Genomic DNA, 16,240 nt, shown 5'->3' on the forward strand with positions numbered 1-16,240 from the left:
AGAGGGTCACTATTTGGCCCTTCCAGAATCTCAGGGTCCGGTTCTCCCGGAAGTTTCCGGGCCGCCCCGGACCCCATTGGCTTTAGGGGCCGCGTCTCCGAGGGCTCCGATTTGGGCCCTAGATTTTGGAATACTGTGTTTTGTCCGTCCCAGCCTTCACCAGGCGGATTTCATCTCCCACACAGTTAGTGATTTATGGCAGAAAGGAAGCTGGAGGGATGGGGACTGCAGGTTAGCTGTGAGGGCCGGAAGGGAGCGGTTTTGTGCTGCACACAGGCAGGTCAGCACTCCCAGAGCAGGGACCGCCGGGCGTGCTTTCGGAACCGCTTTTGTCTTTCAAATGAACGCCCAGCGACAGCAGACGGGAGTTCCAGGACCTTAGAGACCGGCTAATGCTTCTCTTTAAGTTAGGAAACAGGCGCAGGCGTGTTCATGGCCTTGCCTAAGGTTACGTGCTGGTTACAGGGCTCCTCCTGCTGCCTCTTAAGAACAGAAATAATCTAATAGGAGGAATAAAAGGGACTATTAGGGAGGCTAATGCTCTTGAAGTTTTAATACTACTAAAAGTAAAAGCGCTTTTCAGAGTGAAAGGGAAGTGAAAAGGGAATTTGGGTGGCTGGCTACATCAGAAGCTTCTGTTCCAACTTTAGATTGTCAGGGAGTTGAGATGGTGTTTTTTGTTTTTATTTTTGTTTTAGTTTTTTGAGACGGAGTCTCGCTCTGTAGCCCAGGCTGGAGTGCAGTGGCGGGATCTCGGCTCACTGCAAGCTCCGCCTCCCGGGTTCACGCCATTCTCCTGCCTCAGCCTCCCGAGTAGCTGGGACCACAGGTGCCCGCCACGATGCCCGGCTAATTTTTTGTATTTTTAGTAGAGACGGGGTTTCACTTTGTTGGCCAGGATGGTCTCGATCTCCTGACCTCGTGATCCACCCGCCTCGGTCTCCCAAAGTGCTGGGATTATAGGAGTGAGCCACCGCGCCGAGATGGTGTGTTTTTAAAATAACGTGCCCGAGGCCGGGCGTGGTGGCTCACCCCTGTAATCCCAGCACTTTGGGAGGCTGAGGCAGGCGGATCACCTGAGGTCGGGAATTCGAGACCAGCCTGACCAACATGGGAAAACCTCGTCTCTACTAAAAATACAAAAAAATTAACCAGGCATGGTGGCGCATGCCTGTAATTCCAGCTACTCGGGAGGCTGAGGCAGGAGAATCGCTTTAACCTGGGAGGCGGAGGTTGTGGTGAGACAAGATCACGCCATGGCGCTCCAGCCTGAGCAACAAGAGTGAAACTCCATCTCAAAAAAATAATAAATAAATAAATAAAATAACATGCTCCTCAATTTAACTATGGGATTATGTCCCAATACACCCATGGTAGGTCGAAAATGCATTTAATGCACCTAGCCAACTTTAAACGTCCTCAGAACACTTAGCTCCCCTGCAGTTGGGCAACATCATCTAACACAAAGCCTATTTTATAATAAAGTGTTGACTATGTCATGTAACTTACTGAATACTGAATTCAAAGTGGAAAACAGAATGGTTGCGTGGGTACTCGAATTACTGAATGCGTATTGCTTTTGCACCATGGTAAAGTGGAGATATGAGTTGAACCATTCCACGGGACCATCTGTATGCATATAAACCCTAAGTATTTCATATAATTCAGTTTCACAAACCAGAAACTCAGGCATTGCTGTTTCCTGTTTGTGGAGCTACAACTTGGTATTTTAGATGTCAAATTTATTTATTTTTTTGAGATGGTGTCTTGCTCTGTCACCCAGGCTGGAGTGCAGTGGTGCGATCTTGGCTCACCGCAACCTCCGTCTCCTGGGTTCAAGTGATTCTCCTGCCTCAGCCTCCCGAAGTAGCTGGGACTACAGGCAGCCGCCACCGCATCCGGCTAATTTTTTTTTTTTTTTTTTTTTAGTAGAGACAGGTTTTCACCAGGTTGGCTAGGCTGGTCTCGAACCCTTGACCTCAGGTGATCCACCTGCCTCGGCCTCCCAAAGTGCTGGGATTACAGGCGTGAGCCACCGCACATGGCCAAAACGTTTATTTTTATTTATTTATTTTTTTAACATTTTTTTCTTGAGGCAGGGTCTCATTCTTGTCTCCCAGGCTGGAATGCAGTGACTTGATCACAGCTCACTGTGGCCTCAACCTTGGGGGATCAAACAATCCTCCCACCTTAGCCTCCCCAGTAGCTGAGACTACAGTCATGGGCCACCACACCCAGCTAATTTTATTTTTTGTAGAGATAGGGTCTCACTACGTTGCCCAGGCTGGTCTTGAACTCGGACTCAAAGGATCCTCCCTCCTCAGTCTCAGAAAGAGCTGGGATTACAGGTGTGAGCCGCTGCATCCAGCCATTAAATGTATTTTTTATCAATTCTTTTTTTGGCACAACTGCCAGCAAAGAAACCACTCAGTCTGCAAGAGCTAAGTACTAGCAGAATTAGAACTGCCACTGAATTTCCTAGAATCACTGAAAAATTTAATCAAGGAATTGTAAGTTGATCTTTCCTAATTTTAGTTTCATTTTGTGTTTTTAATAAACTGAAAGTAAGGGCAAAAAAAAAGAATTTCCACCACCACTTATATAGCGTAGTTACAGTAGTCACTAGAGTTCCTACTATGGTGAAATTTACATTCATATTCTCTTTAGGTATTTTGGGAAAATAAAATTTTGAAATGCTTAATAATAACCGGAGGATGTCTATTTCTACTGAGAAAAGTGGTGATTTCCCCCAAAGTCCAATTGAATACAGCATATTTTCTGCTCTTCTATTAAATGTAGCATTTTTATGTATAGTTGCCATAATTTTTTGAGCTGAAAGTGACAAAAGGTTACATAGATGGCATTCAAGAAAATACGTTTCGAATGAATATGAGCAAAAAGTCAAGCCTAAAGCAAAAAGGGCATAGATAAGACAAAAATTAAGATTGTATCACTACATGTGCTTCATCTGTAAAAGTCCTGTAAGTAATACAGTCACTAAATTCATATAAAAATATGACTAATTTGGAATTTTTTTTTTTTTTCTTTTTTTCAGACAGTCTCGCTCTGTCACCCAGGCTGGAGTGCAGTGGCACCATCTCGGCTCACTGCAACCTCCATCTCCCAGGTTCAAGCAGTTCTCTGCCTCAGCCTCCTGATTAGCTGGAATTACAGGCATGCGCCACCATGCCTGGCTAATTTTTATATTTTTAGTAGACACGGGGTTTCACCATCTTGGCCAGGCTGGTCTTGAACTCCTGACCTCGTGATCCACCCACTTCAGTCTCCCAGAGTGCTGGGATTACAGGCGTGAGCCACCGTCCTGTCCTGAAAGTATTTTAATACAGTGAATTCACTAACTTTTTTTTTTCTCTCTTAATTTAGACAGAGTTTTGCTCTTGTTGCCCAGGCTGGAGTGCAATGGCACGATCTTGGCTCACTGCAACCTCTGCCCCCCAGGTTCAAGCAATTCTCCTACCTCAGCCTCCTGATTAGCTGGGATTACAGGCATGCGCCACCACGCCCGGCTAATTTTGTATTTTTAGTAGCGACGGGTTTCTCCATGTTGGTCAGGCTAGTCTCGAACTCCCGACCTCAGGTGATCCACCCACCTCGGCCTCCCAAAGTGCTGGGATTACAGGCGTGAGCCACCACGCCCAGCCTAACTTTTTTCTTTAATATTTCTTAGAACCTTTTTCCTGTGTAATATATCTATATTCCTGTGTAATGTTTCATATTATATATATGAATGGATTCTTAGGCTGTATCACATGTCCAACTCACCTCTTTGTCATAGCTGGTATATTGCTATTATATTGTGCAGCAGTGGAGTAGTGAACTTCCCACTAGAATGAATGGCATTAAAGGACAAAGGTTTCACTGAAGCGTGGCTTATTTGTTTTGCCAGGTGTTCCAAATTTTACATAAACTCGTATAATACTGTAAAACTGGACCGGGTGCGGTGGCTTACACCTGTAATCACAGCACTTTGGGAGGCCGAGGTACACGATCACTTGAGGCCAGGAGTTCAAGACCAGCCTGAGAAACATGGTGAAACCCATCTCTACTAAAAATATAAAAATTTGGCAAGGCGTGGTGGCTCACGCCTGTAATCCCAGCCTTTTGGGGGGCTGAGGCAGGCGGATCATGAGTTCAGGAGATCCAGAACATCCTGGCTAACACAGTGAAACCCCGTCTCTACTAAAAATACAAAAAATTAGCTGGGCATGGTAGTGGGCGCCTGTAGTCCCAGCTACTCAGGAGGCTGAGGCAGGAGAATAGCATGAACCTGGGAAGTGGAGCTTGCAGTGAGCCGAGATCGCGCCTCTGCACTCCAGCCTGGTGACAGAGCGAGACTCCGTCTCAAAAAAAAAAAAAAAAAAAGAATACAATATAAACACTATAATATTTAGAATGTTAAGTAATTTAACAAAAATCTAAATAGGAAGAGCATTAGAACATCTTTCTTGTTTTTCATAGAAAAGAGTCCATTGGTACTTGTGACTTAGCCTCCTAACAGTCTTCATTATCTTTTTTTACCAACCACTAAGGGAACATTTAGGCTACATCTTTCATATTGAAGAAATATTTGTCTGAAATTCAGCAAGTCTGTCTATTTTATTTCCATTTCCTATTTTTCCTCTATTAAATCCAAGTGAAGCTAAATTTATGTCTTGTAAAAGCATTTATTAGAAGATCCTTTTAAATAAAACTTTTAAGTCTATGTTAATTAATCGTATATTTAGCATGATTTTTACCCAGTATGAAGGATGGATATTTCTAATTAATGTCATGCTTATTTTGAGTTTTCCTTTATATATATGTATATAAGAGTGTGTGTGTGTGTGTGTGTGTATATATATATATATATATATATACACACACACACACATATATATGTATACTTTTTTTTTTTTTTTTTTTTTTGGAGCCAGAGTCTTGCTCTGTCACCCAGGCTGGAGTGCAACCTCCACCTCCTGGGTTTCAAGCGATTCTCAAGCCTCAGCCTCCCAAGTAGCTGTGATTGCAGGCACCTGCTACCACGCCCAGTTCATTTTTTTTTTTTCCTTTTTGAGAAGGAGTTTCGCTCATGTTGCCCAGGCTAAAGTGCAATGGTGTGATCTCAGCTCACTGCAACCTCCACCTCCCAGGTTCAAGTGATTGTCATGCCTCAGCCTCCCAAGTAGTTGGGATTACAGGCATGTGCCACCATGCCTGGCTAATTTTGTATTTTTAATAGAGACGGGGTTTCACCATGTTGGCCAGGCTGGTCTTGAACTCCTGACCTCAGGTCTCCTGACTTCAGTCTCCCCAACTGCTGGGATTACAGGCTCGAGCCACCATGTCCAGCCTTTCCCTGTTATACCTTTAATGTATTTCTTGACCTTTTAAACATAATGAGCATTTGTTATTGTGATTGAAAAAAATTCATAAAATATTAATTTATTTACAGGATCTGACTTTAATGTGTTTCAGCCAATAGAAATATATTTTAATAGAAGAATGCATTCAAGGAATCATAGTGAAAATTCTGTACACTTTATTTCAGTTAAATGACTGATATATTTTGTTAATAAAATAAGTAGCTGAGAAAACAAGTGTAAGATTATGCCTTTGAAAAACTTGCTATGGAAGTTCGGTGAATAGACAATTACATGAACTAAAGTCGTATATTAGACTTTCCAAGACTATTAGTGACCTCCTACACTGTTTTTAAATCCATGGTCTCAGTACCACGACAGCCACACAGTGTGCATGGAATCTGTGTTAGGCCATTTTCTCACATTAGTTCATCAAAAGATCAGGTACTACAGTGACCTCAGTAAATGAATTGCAGCAATTGGGATGTCTCCAAGCAATTAAGAAGTGAAAAAGAATAAACCATCCCCTCCCAGAAACAAGAAAGCGAACAGAGTGAGAAGACGGGTCTTACATTCCCTTTTTGAGAGAGAGAGAGAGAGAGAGAGAGAGAGAGAGAGAGAGAGGTGCAGCTTTGAATATAAGTAATGGAATGGTGGTGGATATTTTGACAATCTACTGAGCATGTTTTCAGAAATGTGCAAACTATTACCTGGAACTCCAGTATTTGCATACAGCTTTTAGAACATCACTCCGTAACTCCAACTCTGACTGGGATTTTATTGATAAAGAAAAAAACAGTTTTGTATGTATCTTTCAGGGACTTGGGGTTTTTTTTGTTTGTTTCTTACAGTTTTATCCCCACAAAATAGAGCATGAATCCTTCTCAATCTTGGAATTGTATGTTTAAAAACTACTATATTTAATGGGATTCTCAACTCTAAGTATAATTTTTAAGTGTTAGTTTTATTTATTCTTTTTTTTTTTTTTTGAGATGGAGTCTTGCTCTGTCACCCAGCTTGGAGTGCGGTGGCACAATCTCAGCTCACTGCAACCTCCACCTCCTGGGTTCAAGCCATTCTCCTGGCTCAGCTGCCCCAGTAGCTGGGATGACAGGCGTGCACCACCATGCCTAGCTAATTTTTGTATTTTTAGCAGAGACGGTGTTTCACCATGTTGGCCAGGCTGGTCTCAAACTCCTGACCTCATGATCCACCTGCCTCAGCCTCCCAAAGTGCTGGGATTACAGGTGTGAGCCACCGCACCCGGCCAGTTTTGTTTATTCTTAAAGGGAATTTCAAAATTGTCACTATTACATTATCCATTAATGTTGTTTTAACATCTTTCAGATATTATTGATAATAAGGCCTCTGTAACCATGGCTAGTTCTGACGTAAAACCAAAATCAGTAAGTCATGCCAAAAAATGGTCAGAAGAGATAGAAAATCTGTACAGATTTCAACAAGCAGGATATCGGGATGAAACCGAATATAGACAAGTGAAACAAGTTTCTATGGTAAGATTTCTGTCTCTACAAACCTCAACTCGAAATGTATTTCTCAGATGCTGAAAAGTATTTTATAAACAACCAGAGAATAACTGAAGGAAATTCGACTCCAACTCTCTCATTTTATTTGTTTTCTTTTATTTACTTTTATTTTATTTTTTGAGACAGAGTCTCATTCTGTCACCCAGGCTGGAGTGCAGTGACGCAATCTCGGCACACTCCACCTCCCGGATTCAAGGGATTCTCTTGCCTCAGCCTCGTGAGTAGCTGGGATCACAGGCGTGCACCACCACGCCTGGCTAATTTTTGTATTTTTGTAGAGACGGGATTTTGCCGTGTTTGGCCAGGCTGGTCTTGAACTCCTGACCTCAAGTGATCCACGCGCCTAAGCCTTCCAGAGTGCTAGGATTACAGGCAATAGCCAGGACGCCCAGCCAGACTCTCTCATCTTATTAACGGGGAGAGGCCCAGAAGAATGATTTGCAGGCAGAGTGGGAGAAGAGGTGGTCGTTTAGCTGGGCACATTCAGAATTTTCTCTTTTATTGAGCAACTGTGCTCTGCTAAATGAATCTTTTGCGGTAGACCACAAAAAAAAAGCTTTTTTCCTCACTCAGGTGATTTCATTATCAGATAATCAGTATGTTGGGTAACTATTATTTCCCTCCTGTTACTTTTTATTTTAACCATGAATTAGAAAGAGGTTAAAATCCTGTGGTTTTTGGGGCAATTATACCTTACAAACAAAAGTGTTAGAACAACTCGTGACTTTGATAGTATATCCCAGGCTTTCCTGAGAGGGTAGAGACCTAGCTTTGCTTTATGAAGGCTAGACCAAAGTCTAGATTTGGCTCCCGTTTATACAGTGTGGTTCTTCTTAACTTATTTATTCTCTTGGCTACTAAGATATTTTTTTTTTTTTTTTTTGAGACAGAGTCTCACTCTGTCACCCAGGCTGGAGTGCACTGGCGCAATCTCGGCTCAGTGCAACCTCCACCTCCCGGGTTCAAGTGATTCTTAAGAGACGTGTTTTTACAAATTCAGTTCACCCCTGAACAACACAGGGACTAGGGGCTTCAATGCTTCATGCCGTCAAAAATTTGTGTATAACTTTTGACTCCCCAAAACAACTACTAGTAACCTAGTGTTAACAGAAACTCTTGCCCATAAGGTGAATAATTGATCAACCCAGGAATACACTAATATCTTGATATATTTTATGCATTCATGACAAACCTTTTCTTAATTATTTTTGATATTTATAGTCTGTGTGGTTTGCAACTTTTTTCAAATCGTTGCAAATCTCAAAAAAAATTTCAACAAATTTTTTGAAAACAATCCATGTATATATGGACTCCCCAAGTTCAAACTTGCATTGGTCAAGGGTCAACTGTATTGTAAAATATGACATAGTATTCATAAATATATTTTAATTTTTAGATTTGGGATTATAACAGTGTTTATTAACTCAGTTGTTTATTTTTATTTTTTACTAACTCATCATTTTTCAGATTCTAATGTGTAGATTTTGCAGATCACTATAAGCTCTTCTTTTTCTTTTATTCTATTCTTTGACCTCTACTTAAAAATTCCTTTAAAAGTACATAGGAGGCTGGGAGTGGTGGCTCACGCCTGCAATCCCAGCCCTTTGGGAGGCCGAGGTAGGCAGATCACTTGAGGTAATGAGTTTGAGACCAGCCTAGCCAACATGGTGAAACCCTGTCTCTACTAAAAATACAAAAATTAGCCGGGCATGGTGGCATGCACCTGTAGTCCCAACTACTTGGGAGGCTGAGGCAGGAGAATCACTTGAGCCCAGGAGGCAGAGGTTGCAGTTAGCTGAGATCACACCATTACACTACAGCCTGGGCAACAAAGCGAAACCCCATCTCAAATAAATAAATTAATTAATTAAATTAAAATTTTAAAAGTACATAGGAAAAATAATGGAGGCAATACGGAACTATCATGTTATTACCTCTTTAATAGACATTAATTTAATGACATTATTGTGGTTAACAATAGAATTTAAAATACTGATCAAGTGAAGATTGATTACTGTGACTTCCATGTATCTGTCTTCTCAACCATTATACTCTATCCCCATTGCCAAGGATAATTTTCATTACTATATCATCTATGGCTTTTAAACAGAAAAAACAGAAGCATTATCATTTTTATGCTGTTTAAAATAAGCTTTGGGCTGGGCGTGTTGGCTCACACCTGTAATCCCAGCAGTTTGGGAGGCCGAGGCAGGTGGATCATCTGAGGTTGGGAGTTTGAGACCAGCCTGACCAATATGGAGAAACCCTATCTCTGCTAAAAATACAAAACTTGCCAGGCATGGTGGCACATGCCTGTAATCCTAGCTATTCGGGAGGCCGAGGCAGGAGAATCACTTGAAACCAGGAGGTGGAGGTTGTAGTGAGCCGAGATCACGCCATTGCACTCCAGCCTGGGCAACAAGAGTGAAACTCCATCTCAAATAAATAAATAAATAAAATAAGTTTCATACCCTGCCTTAAGATTGGGATGCCCCTAAAGATACACAAGCCTCAGACTCATAGGCGGCCAGCTGTGGTGGCTTACGCCTCTAAGCCCAGTGCTTTGGGAGGCTGAGGGTGAAGGATTGCTTGAGGCCAGGATTTTGAGACCAGTCTGGGTGACATAGTGAGAACCCATTTCTACAAAAAACTTTTTTTAATTAGCCAGGCATGGTGGAGTGTCTCTGTAGTCCCAGCTACTGGGAGGCTCAGGTGGGAGGATTGCTTGAGTGCAGGAGATCGAGGCTGCAGTGACCTGTGATCACATCACTGCACACCAGCCTGGGTGAGAGAGCAAGACCCTGTCTCAAAAAAAAAAAAAGAAAAAAGGAAAAAAGAAAAGAAAGTTGTCACAAGAATTAAATGTAATCACATGTTTGAAGTGCCTGACATTATAGTGCTCATAATTTGTTGGGCTGGGCACAGTGGCTCACGCCTGTAATCCTAGCACTTTGGGAGGCAGAGGCGGGCCGTTCACCTGCAGTCAGGAGTTAGAGACCAGCCTGGCCAACATGGTGAAACCCTGTCTCTACTAAAAATACACAAAATTAGCCGGGCATGGTGGTGCACACATGTAATCCCAGCTACTAGGGAGGCTGAGGCAGGAGAATCACTTGAACCCGGGAGGGGGAGGTTACAGTAAGCTGAGATCATGCCACTGCACTCCAGCCTGGGCGACAGAGCGAGACTCCCCCACAAAAAATTTGTTGACTGAAGGAACAGCAAGTGTTTAGTAAATGATACCTTTTATTAATCTCATCATCTTAGATTCTAAAATAAGTAACAAGAACAATAAAACCTTACACAAATCGAAGTATATGTTCCTTAACAAAAAGAAGCACAGGGATTTAGAGGAAAACAAAATCACTTCCTTCCAGGGACAATCCCCAGAGAGGGCTTAGTGTCCCCAGTGGCATTTGCAGTGGGTCTTCAGGGACGGATAGGATGGTGACTGAAGGCTTGCTTTGGGTGGGATGTTTCTCCCAGTGTGCAGTGGTTTGAGGTTTGAGAGAAGCTGTTTTTCATTACCTGGTGGTATAGTGCTTGCTGACCTTCCCTCCTGAGGGGAAAGTCCTTGAACTTGAGGATCTCATTCCATTCCACCACAGGCAAGAAAGTTTCCCAGATCAAATGGAAATGATCAAGTTGAAAGTCAAGAAGAAAAGAAAGTTCAGAGATGCCAAGGGACATCAAAAGGAAAAATGTCTAGAAGTCAACAAGCAAAGGAGCAACTTAGCTGTCCTAAGGATTGTCCCATATCAAGTAGCTCAGCTCCAGATGTTCGGAAGAGGCATTGGTTGTACTGTTTTCTCACCGGATCAGATGGCTTTCAGATAATCTGCTCCTGGCCCCAGGAGGGAAGAGGGCTGTAATGGAGTCTTGAGAACACCTCCTTTCCCTGCCAAAGGTATTGGAAGCCACACAGGCAGGTGTGGCCTCAGTGGTGGAAAGGACTGCTGGTTTTCTGTAATGTATGTCAGAAGGCCTGCCAAGGCTTCTCAGATATGCTGTTACCTATTCTCGCTAATTCATAAGTAAATGAGATGACACAAAAAATGAAGATGTGTTATTAGAAAGTAAAAGACATGTGGACACAGATGGTATATTCATCTCCTCTTCCTACTGAAAGCTGAGATTTATTCATGGGGAACAGAAAAGGTGCAGGACTACCTGTATAGAAGGTGTTGAAGAACAGGATTTGGAGAAAGGGTGCAGGACTGCCTGTATAGATGGTGTTGAAGAGCAGGATTTGGTTTTCTACAACCTAGATAATGAGTTTTTGGTTATGATAAAGTGCATCTCACAAAATCTGAAAGGAACATATTTGACAGTGGTGAAATACATTAACCTGGCCAGGAAGGGATAACATTGAAGAGGAAGTGGAGAGACAGATCTCCAAATTAGATCAAGCCAAATGAAAAAGTAGATAAACCAATATGGTATACAAGAAGGAATGGTAGGAGATGACTGGGGACAGTGGCTCACACCTGCAATCCCAACACTTTGGAAAGCCAAGACAGGAGGATCATTTGAGACCAGGAGTTTGAGACCAACCTCGGCAACATATAATAATAATGATAATAATAATAATAATAATAACAACAATAAAGAATGGTAGAAGAAATTAAAAAAAAGATTTTTGACACTTTGGGAAGCCAAGGTAGGAGGACTGCTTTAGGCCAGGAGTTTGAGACCAGCCTGGGCAACATAGTGAGACCCTGTCTCTACAAAAAAAAAAAAGAAAAATAGAAAACTTATCTGGGCATGGTGGTGCTTACCTGTAGTTCTAACTACTCGGGAGGCAGAGGCTGGAGGATCCCCTGAGCCCAGGAGGTTGAGGCTGTAGTGAGCTATGATCACAACACCGCACTACAGCCTCGGAGACAGAGTGAGACCCTGTTTCAAAAAAAAAAATGGATTTCAAGGTGAACTTGAAATTGGGGCAGAAGGAAATGCATATACACTTTTGGATAGTTCTTGAGTTGCTTGCTTTATTCACTGTGTATTCATCAACAATCAGCAGGCAGCACTTACAAAATGGAGCCTGGGCTTAGCCCTAATTTCCTCCTGTGGTATTAATTTTAGAAGTTAGAATGTTTAAAATCTTTTGTAAACATAAGAGAAATGAAGTTTAGATTACTTGGAATGTTTTGTCTTATCTTGGCCACAGTATTGAAATTTAAATCTAGAAATTGGAGCTGGGTGCAGTGGCTCAGGCCTGTAATTCCAGCACTTGGGAGGCCGAGCTGGGAGGATCACTTGACTACAGCAGTTCCAGGACAGCTTGGGCAATGTAGCAAGACTCTGTCTCCAAAATAAAACAAAATAAAATAAACCTAGAAATTGGGCTCTAGAGAAAAGCACTGAATTAGTTGTCTTTTTTTTTTTTTTCCGAGGCAGGGTCTTGTTCTGTCACCCAGGCTGGAGTGCAGTGGCGCCATCTAGAGTCACTGCAACCCCTGCCTCCAGAGTTCAATGGATTCTTCTGCCTCAGCCCCCTGAGTACCTGGGATTATAGGCACCTACCACCACACCCAGCTAATTTTTGTATTTTTAGTAGAGGCATTGTTTCACCATGTTGGCCAGGTTGGTCTTGAACTCCTGACCTCAATTGATCCACCTGCCTCAGCCTCCCAGAGTGCTGGGATTACAGGCATGAGCTACTGCACTCGGCCTGAATTAGTTATCTTACAGCATAAGGCTGCAATGTAAGATGTGTCTTGTGGGTATCATACTTTAAAAGCTCAAGCATTCTAAAATCTAATCTTATACTTTGTTTCTGTAAGTCATACTTTTTAACTATTTGATAGTAAAATATGAGATAAAAATCAACCCTCCATTGTAACGTTTGTACTCTGGTTCTTGATGTGCAGGTAGATCGTTGGCCGGAGACAGGATATGTGAAGAAACTTCAGAGAAGGGACAATACGTTCTATTACTACAACAAACAGAGGGAATGTGATGACAAAGAAGTCCACAAAGTGAAAATTTATGCTTACTAGCCTGTCTTCTTTGTATTACTTGTCAATTATATTTTAAGTATTCATCATTTCCTTCTACATCATGTGTTTGTCATTTGATGAAATAATTCAAGATGCAGTCTGCAGTTTAATGTTTTGTGAAACACAAAAGCCATGAGAATTGGTATCTGCTAATCACCTTGTCCTGTTCTAAGAACTGGCTGCAGATGCATTAAAGTTGTACTTTCTTGGTCCTGCTCTTTTTGTCCATTTTATTTTATTTTGAGACAGAGTCTCGCTCTGTCGCCCAGGCTGGAGTGCAGTGGTGCAATCTCGATTCACTGCAACCTCTGCCTCCCGGGTTCAAGTGATTCTCATGCCTCAGCCTCCCAAGTAGCTAGAATTACAGGTGTGCACTACCATACCCATCTAATTTTTATATATTTAATAGAGATATGATTTCATCACGTTGGCCAGGGTGGTCTCAAACTCCTGACCTCAAGTGATCTGCCCGCCTCAGCCTCCCAAAGTGCTGGCATTTCAGGTGTGAGCCACCACACCTGGCCTCTGTCCATAATAACTGTGGTGTGATCACCATTAAGTATGGGAAAACACCTTTGAAATCATCCCAATGGTTAGACTAGTGACATATTTTCTTATAGCAGATAGTCTTAGTGCTCCACCTATACCCATTCCTGGCATTTATGTCTTTACTAGAACATTGCTTTGAGATGCCAGATATGGGTCTTGTGGCCCAAGGTCTTTCTCTTGCCCCTGGAGTCCTTTGCCTCTTGCTGGGCAAACTGGAAGTGTCAAGGAATAATGCCCCCCATGGAAGAAGTCCTCCACTAGTGACTGCTGGGAAGTAGTGATAGAAATCTCCCAGCAGGCTGGGCACAGTGACCCACACCTAAAATCCTAGCACTTTGGGAGGCCGAGGAGGGTGAATCATGAGGTCAGGAAATCAAGACCATCCTGGCTAGCAGGGTGAAACCCTGTCTCTACTAAAAAATACAAAAAATTAGCTGGGAGTGGTGGCGGCTGCCTGTAGTCCCAGCTGCTCAGAAGGCTGAGGCAGGAGAATGGTGTGAACCCAGGAGGCAGAGCTTGCAGTGAGCCAAGATCCCGCCACTGCACTCCAGCCTGGGCGACAGAGGGAGACTCCATCTCAAAAAAAAAAAAAAAAAGAAAACTATAAAGATCTTTGCCTACTTACTAATGATGAAAAGTATGGTCATAGAATATGGTAATGTACAGTTGCATGACCTTGAGCTAACAACTTAGGATTGCAGCCTCAGGATTTACATTTGTAAAGTGAAGAGCCAGCGCTTTGACGGACTAAGGCCATGGGAATCACGTGCTTATTTCAGGGCTATCGGGATCAAAGGGAGTATACATATGATAGGCCTTACACAGTCTCTCGTATAATTGTGCTGGACTTTCTTCTTTTTCCCTGAATAACCTCAGAGACCTTGTTAACGTTTGTGGCCTTCTGAGCTCCCCTCTTTAATCCTTCCAAGAGAGCTTCCCTGTCTGGGTTTAGCCTTTGCATATCCTCTCTTTCATGTGGGTCCATCTGGGGGTTGGTTCCTGGTAACTGGGTCCTTCCATACTCTTGGGGGTTTTGACAATCAGCTGGTGCATATTCCTCTAGCCACTTAGTTGCTGCTTGGAGCCCTCTCCGCCTTTCATCTCTGTTAAAGAGGAACATGAGCAACCGGTGGCAATCAGCCCAGGTGGGGTTGTGGGTCTGGATAACAGTTTGGAGCAAATCAATTAGGGCTTGTGGCTTTTCGGTAGAGGGCGGTGTATTGTTTTCCCAGTTGAGAAGGTCGGCAGAGGTGAAGGCCTGGTACCCAAAAACACGCCTCTCCACTACGTGACCATCCTCCTCTATCCCAGTATACCGCTGCTCTCTCAGGGGCATTTGGATCCCCGTTTTGGGTCGTAAACCAGCTGTCGAGGGAGGGGTGGAATGGCACAATGTGACTTACCGCGATTAATGGTATCAATTATTAATTGAGACTAATAACTATCAATATTAATAACTGATCATATAATTCTTAAAATCAATAGCGATAATAATGATAATTCACATTAAAGAGTTATACTCACGATAACAATAAATGATTAATATTAATGATTAATGACACCTGATATTAATAACTGATATTGATCTTATTCATTAGAAAACAGTCATATTAGCTCTTAATAATTAATATTAATATTAATAATCTGAACACTTTATGAGCAATGATTTCTTAATATTAATATCAATATTGGTAATAGATATTCATGTTAATAATAAATGAGGATGAATTAATACTAATAGTACACCTAAAACCTCAGTGGGTGTACACCCACCTGTGATATTGTTCATAATGTCCAGGAAGGGAGAGAGCATGATATTACGTTCAATATCGCAGTAGCTGTACACCCACCCGGTGATATTGATCCGAATCTCATCTCCAGGGGATGGCGTATGACGTTACTCCCAATATAGCACTGGGTGCGCATCCACCCGGTGATGTTCCTCCTCATATTCACGGAAAAAGAGAATGCTATTACTCCCGGTATCACAGGAAATGTACACCCTTTCTGTGACATTGTTCCTAATATCCGGAGGGGGAGAGGGTGATATTACTCCCAATATCGCAGGCTGTGTACACCCACCCTCTGATATTGTTCCTAGTAGCCAGGAAGGGAGAGGACGATATGACTCCCCAGACAGCAGGAGGTGTACACCCATCCTGGGATATTCTTCCTAATATCCATGGAGAGGAGAGGCTGATATGACTCCCAATATGGCAGGGGGTCTACATCCAGTCTATGATATTGTTCTTAACATTCAAAGGTGGAGAGGTTAATATTACTCCCAATATCACAGAAAGTGTACAAACCCGTGTACTATTGTTGCTATTATCCAGAAGAGGAGAAGATGATAATACCCCCCATACCGCAGGAGGTGTACACCCACTCTGTGATATTTTTTGTAATGTGCAGGGCGGGGGAGGATAATATTCTTCTTAATAACGCAGGGTGTGTACAGCCCCCCTGTGATATGATCCTTAATATTCCAAGGGGGAGAGGATAACCCTACTCCCAATAGCACAGAAAGCGTACACCACCCCAGGGATATTGTTCCCATGATCCAGGAGAGAAGAGGATGATGTTACTTTCAATATCGCATGGGATGGACACGCCCCCAGTGATATTGGTCCTAATTTCAACATGGGAGAGGACGATACTACACCCAATGCCGCTGGGGGCAGAAACACTCCCGTGATATTGTTCTTAATATCCAGGGGGAAGAGGATGCTATTACTGCAAATAGTACAGAGGATGTGCACCCGTCTGTGACATAGTTGGTAAT

At 42.6% G+C, this 16,240-nt stretch overlaps 1 protein-coding gene across 4 annotated transcripts in view; it reads left to right on the plus strand.

The window, feature by feature from the left end:
- The window catches only part of MEIG1 (meiosis/spermiogenesis associated 1), a 33,823-nt gene that overhangs the window by 5,505 nt on the left and 12,078 nt on the right, over positions 1-16,240 (plus strand). For 3 of the 4 annotated variants that reach the window (XM_024448136.1, XM_047425662.1, NM_001080836.3), the window contains exons 2-3: positions 6,708-6,874; positions 12,781-13,125. The exons of the other annotated variant lie outside the window; for it this stretch is intronic. In XM_024448136.1, the coding sequence (XP_024303904.1) occupies positions 6,708-6,874; positions 12,781-12,909 (296 nt within the window). In that variant the 3' untranslated portion in view covers positions 12,910-13,125. Of the gene's footprint in view, positions 1-6,707; positions 6,875-12,780; positions 13,126-16,240 lie in introns of those variants that run through there. 4 annotated transcript variants of the gene reach the window in all.

This window comes from Homo sapiens, chromosome 10 (genome assembly GCF_000001405.40).
Source record: "Homo sapiens chromosome 10, GRCh38.p14 Primary Assembly".
Taxonomy (NCBI): Eukaryota; Metazoa; Chordata; class Mammalia; order Primates; family Hominidae; genus Homo; species Homo sapiens.